Here is a 13,564-nt window from a genome sequence, read left to right as displayed (position 1 = left end):
AAAAAAAAAAAAAAAAAAAAAGTGTTCTCCACAGCACCCCTATGATAAATAAGGAACACATTTCAAATAGTGTTTTCTTTCTTGTAATGTCTCTTTGTGCAGACTAATGGCATACTCTGCAGTCCAGTAAATAGCAATTCTATGAGGCATCAAGACTCCCCAATCCACATGAAATAAAATGAGAAATGTCATTGTGCAGGACTTCAGGGGCTACTCCCGCGGGAGAGAAGCTGTCAGAATGGGACACCAGGCCCTGCCTCTCAGGGGCGCCCTGAGGGACAGAAGTCAGGAGCAGAGTGCAGGGGCCGCTGAGCTGGAGAACAAGAGAGGAACACTGTGTGCAGGAGTCACAACGAGGGGCCCAATGAGAGAGACGCTGGAGTAACTGCTGTGCAAACTTTGGGGAGCAGATGGGCCAAGGACTATTTTAGGAAGTTAAGATGTTTGTTGTGTAGACAACAGCCCGGCCATACCCTTCAAGACAACCAGGCAACATGGCATGGTGGTTTGGAGCAGTGGCTTCAAAGTTATAGACTTGCACACCTCATAAAATTACTAGGAAAAAATTGTGTGCCTCCTTTCTCATTTTAACAAATGTGACAAAAAATTGTTTTATCACAAGTTCAAATAATTATGAAGTATATAATTTCTGGGGTACTGTAAACACTGACATTTTAAAACAAAACTGTCTCATCAGTCTTTTTACATGTATAGTAGAATATTAATACAATAGCAATTTGAAACCCTCCATTATCCACTTACAAATTACCATAGGCCCATCTCTACTAAAAATATAAAAATTAGCCAAGGGTAGTGGCGGGCGCCTGTAATCCCAGCTATTCAGGAGGCTGAGGCAAAAGAATCACTTGAGCCTGGGAGGTGGAGGTTGCAGTGAGCCGGAGATCACGCCACTGCACTACAGCCTGGGCGGCAGAGTGAGACTCTGTCTCATAAATAAATAAATAAATAAATAATAAAATAAAATACCATAAACAAGCTCTTCATTAAGGGTCAGAAATTGTACCTTGTGCATTTTACCTATTGAAATTTAACTTCCATTCCAACTCTCCCACATAACTTTACAAATTTTATATATTTTTTATGCATGAAAGTCTTATTTTGATCATCCAGTTAACCAACAGAATGTGACACTGGCGATGAGATATTACTGCTGAGATTTGGTTGCATAAAGACTCTGGCTTCTGTCTTGCTGGTGTTGTTCCACTCCCACACTTGCTGGCTTGCTCTAGCCAGCTGACATGTTGTGGACTGCCCCATGGAGAGGTGCGTGTGGCCAAGAACTGAGGGAGGTTTCCAGCCCACAGTGAGGAGCTCAGGCCTTCAGTCCAATTGCCTGGGAATAACTGAGTCCTGCCAACAACCCCATGAGCTTAGAAGTACATTCTCTCTCAGGCTGGGTGCGGTGGCTCACGCCTGTAATGCCAGCACTTTGGGAGGCCGAGGCTGGTGGATCACATGAGGTCAGGAGTTCGAGACCAACCTGGCCAACATGATGAAAACCCGTCTCTACTAAAAATACAAAAATTAGCTGGGTATGGTGGCACACGCCTGTAATCCCAGCTACTCAGGAGGCTGAGATGGGGAATCATTCATTGAGATGGGGAATCAATCCCAGGAGGCAGAGGTTGCAGTGAGCGGAGATTGTGCCACCACACTCCAGCCTGGGCAATACAGTGAGACTCAGTCTCAAAAAAAAAAAAAAAAGAAAAAAAAGTACATTCTCTCTTAGTTGAGCCTTCAGCTGACACCTTGACTGCACACCTTGAGGTCACATTCAGATTCTAGACTCACAGAAACTTCTCAATAACTGTGTGATAATGTCTGATGAGTGGTTTATCAATTATATTGATCTCAAAGTACGAGACTTTGATTTCATTGATTGTCTCTATTATTTTTCTGTTTTCTATTGTACTGACTTTCACTCTGATCTTCATTATTTCCTTCTCTCGTCTTACCTTGGGTTTAATTTGCTCTTCTTTTTCTATTCCTCCCCCCCTCCCTTCCTTCCTTCCTTCTTTCCTTCCTTCCTTTATTTTTCCTTCCTTCTTTTCTTTTCTTTTCGACAGAGTCTTTCTCTGCTGCCCAGGCTGGAGTGCAGTGGTGGGATCTTGGCTCACTGCAACTTCTACCTTCTGGGTTCAAGCGATTCTCATGCCTCAGCCTCCTGAGTAGCTGGGACTACAGGGCGACATCATGCCTGGCTAACTTTTGTATTTTTAGTAGAGACAGGATTTCACCATGTTGGCCAGGCTGGTCTCCAACTCCTGACCTCAAGTGATCCATCTGCCTCGTCCTCCCAAAGTGCTGGGATTACAGGCATGAGCCGCTGTGCCTAGCCATGCTCTTCTTTTTCTGGTTTTTAAAGGTGGAAGTTGAAGTAAGTGATTTGAGACCTTTCTTCTTTTCTTTTATAGGCACCCAGCATTGTAAATTTTGCTCTAAGTACTGTTTTAGTTGGATCCTGCAATGGAAAATTATAAGCTGTCTAGAAACAATGAAAGGTTAGACATTACATGCCAAAATCTATGGGACACAGGGAACGTTTAATGTACAATACAATAAATATTATAAACCTAAACATCTTAGTAATTAAAGATGCTTAAAAATAAGATACGTGCCCATCTTTAGGAATAGACAATACAAAAATATAGGTTAATAGGAATGAGAAAGAAGACATAATAAAAATCTAGGGAGGATTATAAACTAATTGTACAAACTGGCCAGGCATGGTGGTTTATGCTTGTAATCCCAGCACTTTGGGAGGCCAGGGCAGGTGCATTGCTTGAGCTCAGAAGTTTGAGGCCAGCCTAGGCAACATGGTGAAACTCTATCTCTACAAAAAATAGAAAAATTAGTCGGGCATGGTGGTGCACACCTGTAGTCCCAGCTACTTGGGAGGCCGAGTTGGCAGGATCACTTGTGCCACGGAGGTCGAGGCTGTAGTGAGCTGTGATCGTGCCACTGCAAGTCAAGGCTGCAGTGAACCATGATTACCCCACTGCACTCCAACCTGGGTGACAAGTGAGACTGTGTCTCAAATAAAATAAAGTAAAATAAAATAAAATAATTGTACAATAGTACATGTTACTCCATAGCAATATATTTGAAAATCCAAAAGAAATAGATTATTTCCTAGCACAGTATGAATTATGAAAGTTATCTGAAGAAGTTGAAAACATGAATAGATCAGTTTCAACAGAAGAGACTGAAATTGTGATTAAAATTCTGCCATTGAAAAGTCACCAGGAACAGTTATGGAATGTAAAATTCTGTTATGTATGTAAAATTCAGTTATAGAATAGTAAGTCCATGACTGAATTTTACATAGGCTTTAAAGAACAGATAATTCATATGGTATTTAAACAATTCCGGGAAAATAGAACGGGGTTCAAAGCTCTCCCAGTTCATTTTATGCTGCCCTAGAACTTCAAGTCAAAACCTGACAAAAATATTTTTAAATGCATACATCCTAAATTTAAAAATAGAAAATAAATGGGTATGCATAGGAAAAAAAGGAAAAATAAAATTTAAAAACATAGCAAATAAAATTCAGGAATGTATCAGGAAAAATCAGATACTTTATCTACATAATCCATTACATTCAGCATGAATTGGGGTTACATACAAATTCCCCATTAAGAGACATCTCCACAGCACACTGCAAGATGGAATTGTTAAAATACTAATCTGATTATTGAGGATTGTCATTCATTTGTTTTTTGTTTGTTTTTGAGATGGAGTCTCACTCTCTCACCCAGGCTGGAGTGCAGTGGCAGGATCTCGGCTCACTGTAATCTCTGCCTCCCAGGTTCAAGCAATTCTCCCTGCCTCAGCCTCCCGAGTAGCTGGGATTACAGGCGCCCACCACCACGCCTGGCTAATTTTTATATTTTTTGTAGAGACGGGGTTTCACCATGTTGGCCAGGCTGGTCTTGAACACCTGACCTCAAATGATCTGCCCACCTCGGCCTAGTGCTGGGATTCCAGGCATGAGCCACCGTGCCCAGTCTTTGTTTTATAGTTTTATCACTCTAGAAACTGGAAACCCAAAATGATTTTTACTGTTACTAGTTGTCTGGTTCTACTTTTGTGTGAAGTATCAAAAATATTTGTCCCAAGATTAGAGAACGGACAAATGGTTTGACTCTTCAACTTCATTTGCAACATGTGCATTCACTGTGCAAAGACAGGCCTCCTCCACACTCTGCTTCTGAGCTGTTTGGGGACCAATCATGCTTCCATGTGAATTGAATCATCAGGGGACCAAACCCTGGTTATTCACTTAATGAACACTGGTGTTTCCTTATCATCTGCTTTTCTTTCTTGGGCTTTTTGCTCCCGATTTCCTTTCTACAAACATAGTGTTTTTATGACCATATGAAATGAAACTGCACTTTTAATCTAATAAGTTGCTTAATTTTAAAAATTGGCTGCTTATGTAAGCATTCTCTTCCCCAAATATATGGCCCTCCAGTTTCCATGCCCTCTCAGACCTGGCACCAGGCACTCTTTTCAGATTCCCTTGCTAAAAAGCTAATAAACTTTGATGTGTGCTCAACATCAGTTTGTCTAAGAAAGTTTGTTTGTAACAAAAGATGTGCTAAAGTGGGTCAAAATAATTAGACCACAGCTTGCTTCACTGTGACCCGTGATCCAAGGCCTTTATGTCACAAATTTTGCCCACTGCCTTAGTTCATTCAGACTGCTACAACAAAATACCATAAACTGGGTACCTTATAAAAAACACAAATTTATTTCTCATAGTCCTGGTCCCAAATCTCAGCTTGAGACTACAAATGACGATTTTTTTGTCTTTCAGGTTTAAATTTTTTTAAAAAAATTGTATTAAAGTTTGTAGGCACATAATTTAAATAAAACACTTCTCCAGACTTTTAATGGAAAAAAGGCAATCTTTGAGTACCACTGCCTACTCCCCCCTTCTCCCATTCTGCCCTCTCCAGACACAATCCCTTTAAAATATTTTAACTGCTTTTTTAAGTATTAATATTTACCTTCAGCTGGGTGCACTGGCTCACACCTGCAATTCCAGCACTTTGGGAGGCCAAGGTGGGTGGATCACAAGGTCAGGAGTTTGAGTCCATTCTGACCAATGTGGTGAAACCCTGCCTCTACTAAAAAAAAAAAAAAAAAAAAAAATTAGCCAGGTGTGGTGGCACATGCCTGTAATCCCAGCTACTCAGGAGGCTGAGGCAGGAGAATTGCTTGAACCCAGGAGGTGGAGGTTGCAGTGAGCTGAGATCATGCCACTGCACTCCAGCCTGGAGTGAGACAGAGTGAGACTCTGTCTCAACAAAAAAAAAAATAAGAAAAGAATTACCTTCATATCACTAAATAACATGCTTCTATTACTATTTCTTGATTTTTTTGGTTCCTTGTATTTTCTATTGACTCCCCACTGTGGAAGATAACATTTGTCTCTCTTTCAATAACTTCTTTTCTCCTGGTGTGTTATCTCTCACACACACAACCCATTCCCTTCTTTCCATCTTCCAAACATAATAATTTTGGTTAGATGTATATTAGGTGTTTTTATTATTATACTCTGTTATTATTACCATGTATGATTACAGCAGGGTCATGTAGTATACTATGATTTCCTTCCCTGCAAATAATTTATTTGTGGCTGGGGGGAGGGTGGGAGTAAATAAGTTTGGTTTTTGTTTGTTTACTTGATTAGTTATATATGTACCCCAAACTCTCAATTGTTTTACCCTATCTCAAGAGGTACTGTTTCTTAAATGATGCTATCAATTTCATCTTCTTTTTATAAAAAAAAAAACAGAGGCTGGCTCCGTTGCCAGGCTGGAGTGCAGTGACACGATCTTGGCTCACTGCAACCTCCATCCCCTGGGCTCAAACGATTCTTGTGCCTCAGCCTCCCAAGTAGCTGGGATTGCAGGCGTGTGTCACCATGCCCGGCTAATTTTTGTATTTTTAGTAGAGACGAGTTTTCGCCATGTTGGCCAGGCTGGTCTTGAACTCCTGGCATTGTGATCTGCCTGCCTCAGCCTCCCAAAGTGGTAGGATTACAGGTGTGGGCCACCACGCCCAGCCCCAATTTCACCATCTTTAACATGTGCCTCCTAAAGCCCTTTGACCTGCTCCAGTATGGTTGAGTGTGGTCCTCTGCACTCAGCTGGGATAACTGATACCAAAATACCTTCCTGTCCTTGTACTACACATTACTGGAATCAGGAAAAAAGAACTTAGTACTTACTCCAGGAAACACTTGCTCTGGGAGTGAACCAACTAAAATAGTTTATTTCTCAAGACTTACAACTTGCTTGCCAAAGCTGTTCAAGAAACTTGCCTCACTGTTCCCAATGACCCATAGCCATCATGTTGAAAGGTGACAGCGTGCTGGCAGTCCTCACAGCCCTCGCTCGTTCTTGGCGCCTCCTCTGCCTGGGCTCCCACTTTGGCAGCACTTGAGGAGCCCTTCGGCCCACCGCTGCACTGTGGGAGCCCCTTTCTGGGCTGGCCAAGGCCGGAGCCGGCTCCCTCAGCTTGCAGGGAGGTGTGGAGGGAGAGGTGCCAGCAGGAACCAGGGCTGTGCGCCGCGCTTGCGGGCCAGCTGGAGTTCCGGGTAGGCGTGGGCTTGGCGGGCCCCACACTCGGAGCAACCGGCTGGCCCTGCCGGCCTGGGCAGTGAGTGGCTTAGCACCCGGGCCAGTGGCTGCAGAGGGTGTACTGGGTCCCCCAGCAGTGCCAGCCCACTGGCGCTGTGCTCGATTTCTCGCCCGGCCTTAGCTGCCTTCCCGTGGGGCACGGCTCGGGACCTGCAGCCTGTCATGCCTGAGCCTCCCACCCACTCCATGGGCTCCTGTGCGGCCCGAGCCTCCCCCATGAGCGCCGCCCCCTGCTCCACGGCGCCCAGTCCCATCGACCAGCCAAGGGCTGAGGAGTGCGTGCACACGGCGTGGGACTGGCAGGCAGCTCCACCTGCAGCCCCCATGCAGGATCCAGTGGGTGAAGCCAGCTGGGCTCCTGAGTCTGGCGGGGACGTGGAGAACCTTTATGTCTAGCTCAGGGATTGTAAATACACCAATCAGCACCCTGTGTCTAGCTCAGGGTTTGTGAATGCACCAGTCGACACTCTGTATCTAGCTACTCTGGTGGGGCCTTGGAGAACCTTTATGTCTAGCTCAGGGATTGTAAATACACCAATCGGCACTCTGTATCTAGCTCAAGGTTTGTAAGCACACCAATCAGCACCCTGTGTCTAGCCCAGGATTTCTGAATGCACCAATCGACACTCTGTATCTAGCTACTCTGGTGGGGACTTGGAGAACCTTTGTGTTGACGTGCTGTATCTAGCTAATCTAGTGGGGAGGTGGAGAACCTTTGTGTCTAGCTCGGGGATTGTAAACGCACCAATCAGCGCCTGTCAAAACAGACCACTCGGCTCTACCAATCAGCAGGATGTGGGTGGGGCCAGATAAGAGAATAAAAGCAGGCTGCCGGAACCAGCAGTGGCAACCCGCTGGGGTCCCCTTCCACACTGCCTCTTTGCAATAAATCTTGCTACTGCTCACTGTTTGGGTCCACACTACTTTTATGAGCTGTAACACTCACTGCGAAGGTCTGGAGCTTCACTCCTGAAGCCAGCCAGGCCACGAGCCCAGGGGGAGGAACGAACAACTCCAGACGCGCGGCCTTAAGAGCTGTAACACTCACCGCAAAGGTCTGCAGCTTCACTCCTGAGCCAGCAAGACCAAGAACCCACCAGAAGGAAGAAACTCCAAACACATCCGAACATTGGAAGGAATAAACTCCAGACGCGCCACCTTAAGAGCTGTAACACTCACCGTGAGGGTCCGCGGCTTCATTCTTGAAGTCAGTGAGACCAAGAACCCACCAATTCTGGACACAATGTCATAAATTTTACCCACTGCATTGGCCCATTTAGGCTGCCCAAACAAAATACCATAAACTGGGTACCTTATAAAAAAACAAATTTCTCAGTTCTGGAGGCTGGGCCGATTTGGTGTTTGGTGAAGGTTAGCTTCCTTCTAGCTGGTGCTTTCTCCTTGGATAGTAGCTTCTCCCTGCATCCTCATATGGTGGAAGGGGCAAGGCAGCTCTCTGAGGCTTCTTTTATAGGAAAACTGATCTCATTCATGAAGACTCCATCAATCTTCCTGGGCTCAAGCTATCCTTTTAGCCCAGCCTCCTGAGTAGCTGGAACAACAGGTATGCACCATCAGGCAGAGCTAATTTTTTTTTAAATTTAAATTTCTTGTAGAGACTGGATCTTGCTGTGTTTCCCAGGCTGTTCATAAATTCTTGTGCTCAAGTGATCCTCTCACCTCAGCCTCCCAAATTGCTGGGATTATAGGCTGGGTGTGGTGGGCCACCTCAGCCTGGGGTCTCTTTAATTAAGGTTATAATGCTAACTGACAGGCCTCTGAGCCCAAGCCAAGCCATCGCATCCCCTGTGACTTGCACGTATACGCCCAGATGGCCTGAAGTAACCGAAGAATCACAAAAGAAGTGAATATGCCCTGCCCCAACTTAACTGATGACATGCCACCACAAAAGAAGTGTAATTGGCCAGTCCTTGCCTTAAGTGATGACATTACCTTGTGAAAGTCCTTTTCCTGGCTCATCCTGGCTCAAAAAACACCCCCACTGAGCACCTTGTGACCCCCACTCCTGCCCACCAGAGAACAAACCCCCTTTGAGTGTAGTTTTCCTTTACCTACCCAAATCCTATAAAACGGCTCCACCCTTATCTCCCTTCGCTGACTCTCTTTTCGGACTCAGCCCGCCTGCACCCAGGTGAAATAAACAGCCATGTTGCTCACACAAAGCCTGTTTGGTGGTCTCTTCACACGGACGCGCATGAAATTTGGTGCCGTGACTCGGAACAGGGGACCTCCCTTGGGAGATCAATCCCCCATCCTCCTGCTCTTTGCTCCATGAGAAAGATCCACATACGACCTCAGGTCCTCAGACCGACCAGCCCAAGAACATCTCACCAATTTCAAATTCGGTAAGTGGCCTCATCTTACTCTCTTCTCCAACCTCTCTCACTGTCCCTCAACCACTTTGTCCTTTCCACTCTTCAATCTCTCCCTTCTTTTAATTTCAATTCCTTTCATTTTCTGGGAGAGACAAAGGAAACACGTTTTATTCGTGGACCCAAAACTCCGGCGCCGGTCACGGATTGGGAAGGCAGCCTTCCCCTGGTGTTTAATCATTGCAGGGACGCCTCTCTGATCATTCAGCCACGTTTCAAGGGTGTCAGACCACGCAGGGACGCCTGCCTTGGTCCTTCATCCTTAGCGGCAAGTCCCGCTTTTCTGGGGAAGGGGCAAGTACCTCAACCCCTTCTCTCCATGTCTCTACCCCTTCTCTGCTTTTCTGGGAGAGGGGCAAGTACCCCTCAACCTCTTCTCTCCTTGTCTCTACCCCTTCTCTGCTTTCCTGGGGCAGGGGCAAGTACCCCTCAACCTCTTCTCCTTCGCCCTTAGCGGCAAGTCCCGCTTTCCTGGGGCAGGGGCAAGTACCCCTCAACCCCTTCTCCTTCACCCTTAGCGGCAAGTCCCGCTTTCCTGGGGCAGGGGCAAGTACCCCTCAACCTCTTCTCCTTCGCCCTTAGCGGCAAGTCCCGCTTTCCTAGGGGGCAAGAACCCCCCAATCGCTTATTTCCACGCCCCAACCTCTTATCTCTGCGCCCCAACCTCTTATCTCTGCACCCCAATCGCTTATTTCCATGCCCCAACCTCTTATCTCTGCGCCCCAATCCCTTATTTCTGCGCCCCAACCTCTTATCTCTGCGCCCCAATCCCTTATTTCCGTACCCCAACACTTTCTCTGCTTTTCTGGAGGGCAAGAAACCCCCACCCCTTCTCCGTGACTCTACTCTTTTCTCTGGGCTTGCCTCCTTCACTGTGGGCAAGCTTCCACCTTCCATTCCTCCTTCTTCTCCCTTAGCCTGTATTCTTAAGAACTTAAAACCTCTTCAATTCTCACCTGACCTAAAACCTTATTTTCTTCTGCAATGCCGCTTGACCCCAATACAAACTCGACAGTAGTTCCAAATAGCCAGAAAATGGCACTTTGAATTTTTCCATCCTGCAAGATCTAAATAATTCTTGTCGTAAAATAGGCAAACGGTCTGAGGTGCCTGACGTCCAGGCATTCTTTTACACATCAGTCCCTTCCTAGTCTCTGTGCCCAGTGCAACTCATCCCAAATCTTCCCTCTTTCCCTCCCGCCTGTCCCCTCAGTACCAACCCCAAGCGTCGCTGAGTCTTTCTAATCTTCCTTTTCTACAGACCCATCTGACCTCTCCCCTCCTCGCCAGGCCGAGCTAGGTCCCAATTCTTCCTCAGCCTCTGCTCCTCCACCCTATAATCCTTTTATCACCTCCCCTTCTCACACCTGGTCGGGCTTACAGTTTCGTTCCGTGACTAGCCCTCCCCCACCTGCCCAGCAATTTACTCTTAAAAAGGTGGCTGGAGCCAAAGGCATAATCAAGGTTAATGCTCCTTTTTCTTTATCCCAAATCAGATAGCGTTTAGGGTCTTTTTCATCAAATATAAAAATCCAGCCCAGTTCATGGCTCGTTTGACAGCAACCCTGAGACGCTTTACAGCCCTAGACCCTAAAAGGTCAAAAGGCCATCTTATTCTCAATATACATTTTATTACCCAATATGCTCCTGACATTAAATAAAACTCCAAAAATTAAATTCCGGCCCTCAAACTCCACAACAGGATTTAATTAACCTTGCCTTCAAGGCGTACAATAATAGAAAAAAGTTGCAATTCCTTGCCTCCACTGTGAGACAAATCCCAGCCACATCTCCAGCACACAAGAACTTCCAAATGCCTGAACCGCAGTGGCCAGGCGTTCCTCCAGAACCTTCTCCCCCAGGAGTTTGCTGCAAGTGCCAGAAATGTGGCCACCAGGCCAAGGAATGCCTGCAGCCCAGGATTGTTCCTAAGCCGTGTCCCATCTGTGCGGGACCCCACTGGAAATCGGACTGTCCAACTCACCTGGCAGCCACTCCCAGAGTCCCTGGAACTCTGGCCCAAGGCTCTCTGACTCCTTCCCAGATCTTCTTGGCTTAGCGGCTGAAGACTGACGCTGCCCGATCGCCTCGGAAGCCCCCTAGACCATCACGGACGACAAGCTTCGGGTAACTCTCACAGTGGAAGGTAAGTCTGTCCCCTTCTTAATCAATACGGAGGCTACCCACTCCACATTACCTTCTTTTCAAGGGCCTGTTTCCTTTGCCTCCATAACTGTTGTGGGTATTGACGGCCAGGCTTCTAAACATCTTAAAACTCCCCAACTCTGGTGCCAACTTAGACAATACTCTTTTAAGCACTCCTTTTTAGTTATCCCCACCTGCCCAGTTCCCTTATTAGGCTGAGACATTTTAACCTAATTATCTGCTTCCCTGACTATTCCTGGACCATAGCCGCATCTCACTGATGCCCTTCTTCCCAATCCAAAGCCTCCTTTGCGTCCTCCTCTTGTATTCCCCCATCTTAACCCACAAGTATAAGATACCTCTACTCCCTCCTTGGCGACCGATCATGCTCCCCTTACCATCTCATTAAAACCTAATCACCCTTACCCCGCTCAATGCCAATATCCCATCCCACAGCATGCTTTGAAAGGATTAAAGCCTGTTATCACTTGCCTGCTACAGCTTGGCCTTTTAAAGCCTATAAACTCTCCTTACCATTCCCTCATTTCACCTGTCCTAAAACCAGACAAGGCTTACAAGTTAGTTCAGAATCTGCGCCTTATCAACCAAATTGTTCTGCCTATCCACCCCGTGGTGCCAAACCCATATACTCTCCTATCCTCAATACCTCCCTCTACTACCTGTTATTCTGTTCTGGATCTCAAACATGCTTTCTTTACTATTCCTTTGCACCCTTCGTCCCAGCCTCTCTTTGCCTTCACTTAGACTGACCCTGACACCCATTAGGCTCAGCACATTACCCGGGCTGTACTGCCGCAAGGCTTCACAGACAGCCCCCATTACTTCAGTCAAGCCCAAATTTCATCCTCATCCGTTAGTCATACTCCTATTCACCATTCTAAACTACTCATACATGCCCTGCTCTTGTTTACACTGCTGGTTTACACTGTTTCTCCAAGCCATCACAGCTGATATCTCCTGGTGCTATCCCCAAACTGCCACTCTAAACTCTTGAAGTAAATAAATAATCTTTGCTGGCAGGACTATGCTGAATCTCCTTAGGCACTCTCTAATTAGATGTCCTAGGTCCTCCCAATTCTTAGTCCTTTTATACCTGTTTTTCTCCTTCTGTTATTCTATTTAGTTTCTCAATTCATCCAAAACCGTATCCAGGCCAACCAATATTCTATATGACAGAAGTTTCTTCTAACATCCCCACAATATCACCCCTTACCACAAGACCTCCCTTCAGCTTAATCTCTCCCACTCTAGGTTCCCACGCCGCCCCTAATCCCGCTTGAAGCAGCCCTGAGAAACATTGCCCATTGTCTGTCCTTATCACCCCCCAAAAATTTTTGCTGCCCCGACACTTCAACACTATTTTGTTTTATTTTTCTTATTAATATAAGAAGGCAGGAATGTCAGGCCTCTGAGCCCAAGCCAAGCCATTGCATCCCCTGTGACTCGCACGTATACACCCAGATGGCCTGAAGTAACTGAAGAATCACAAATGAAGTGAATATGCCCTGCCCCACCTTAACTGATGACATTCCACCACAAAAGAAGTGTAAATGGCCGGTCCTTGCCTTAAGTGATGACATTACATTGTGAAAGTCCTTTTCCTGGCTCATCCTGGCTCAAAAAGCACCCCCACTGAGCACCTTGCGACCCCCACTCCTGCCCGCCAGAGAACAAACCCCCTTTGAGTGTAATTTTCCCTTACCTACCCAAATCCTATAAAACGGCCCCACCCTTATCTCCCTTCGCTGACTCTTTTCGGACTCAGCCCGCCTGCACCCAGGTGAAATAAAGAGACGTGTTGCTCACACAAAGCCTGTTTGGTGGTCTCTTCACACGGACGCGCATGAAACTAACCATGGCTTAAAATACTAAGCAACATTTTCCAAATTGTTTATTGCTATTGCCTTGACTTTGGAGAAGCTGGGAAGTAAGGAGGTGAGGTGAACACTCTGACAATTAACACGTGTTAGAGAGGAAAGTTGTGTGAAGAGGCTGCCAAAGTAAACAGTACGAATGAATCTTCTTGTACTAGGGCTGCTGCAAACCCCAGGTAGACAAATGACAGCCCAGGCTCTTGAACCATCGGGAACCCAGGAGTCTACCCTACTGTGAGGAGGGGGCAGGCCTTCGTCAATAAGGGTCCCACCATCACGGGCTAATAATCTTTCTCAGTTTAGGTGATATTGAGGTATTGAAACTGTTAGAAATCTGACAGATTTGACCAAGATTTGGAGATGTCCACATGTTGGGAAGGACTGAGTGTCCCTAGCCACTCTCCTCTGGGATAACGCGGACGTCATTAGTTTGCGAAGTGGGTGGGGAGAACAGGAGGAT

General features: G+C 46.3%; 1 annotated feature.

The window, feature by feature from the left end:
* Positions 8,292-8,881: an enhancer, noted in NCBI's record as "NANOG hESC enhancer chr2:71317686-71318275 (GRCh37/hg19 assembly coordinates)". NCBI's record gives its function as "activates a minimal SCP1, AML or CMV promoter by ChIP-STARR-seq in naive H9 embryonic stem cells {active_cell/tissue: H9 hESC(naive)}" and the evidence as "EXISTENCE:reporter gene assay evidence [ECO:0000049][PMID:30033119]".

This window comes from Homo sapiens, chromosome 2 (assembly GCF_000001405.40).
Source record: "Homo sapiens chromosome 2, GRCh38.p14 Primary Assembly".
NCBI lineage: Eukaryota > Metazoa > Chordata > Mammalia > Primates > Hominidae > Homo > Homo sapiens.
This window is presented reverse-complemented; position numbering and strand designations above follow the sequence as displayed.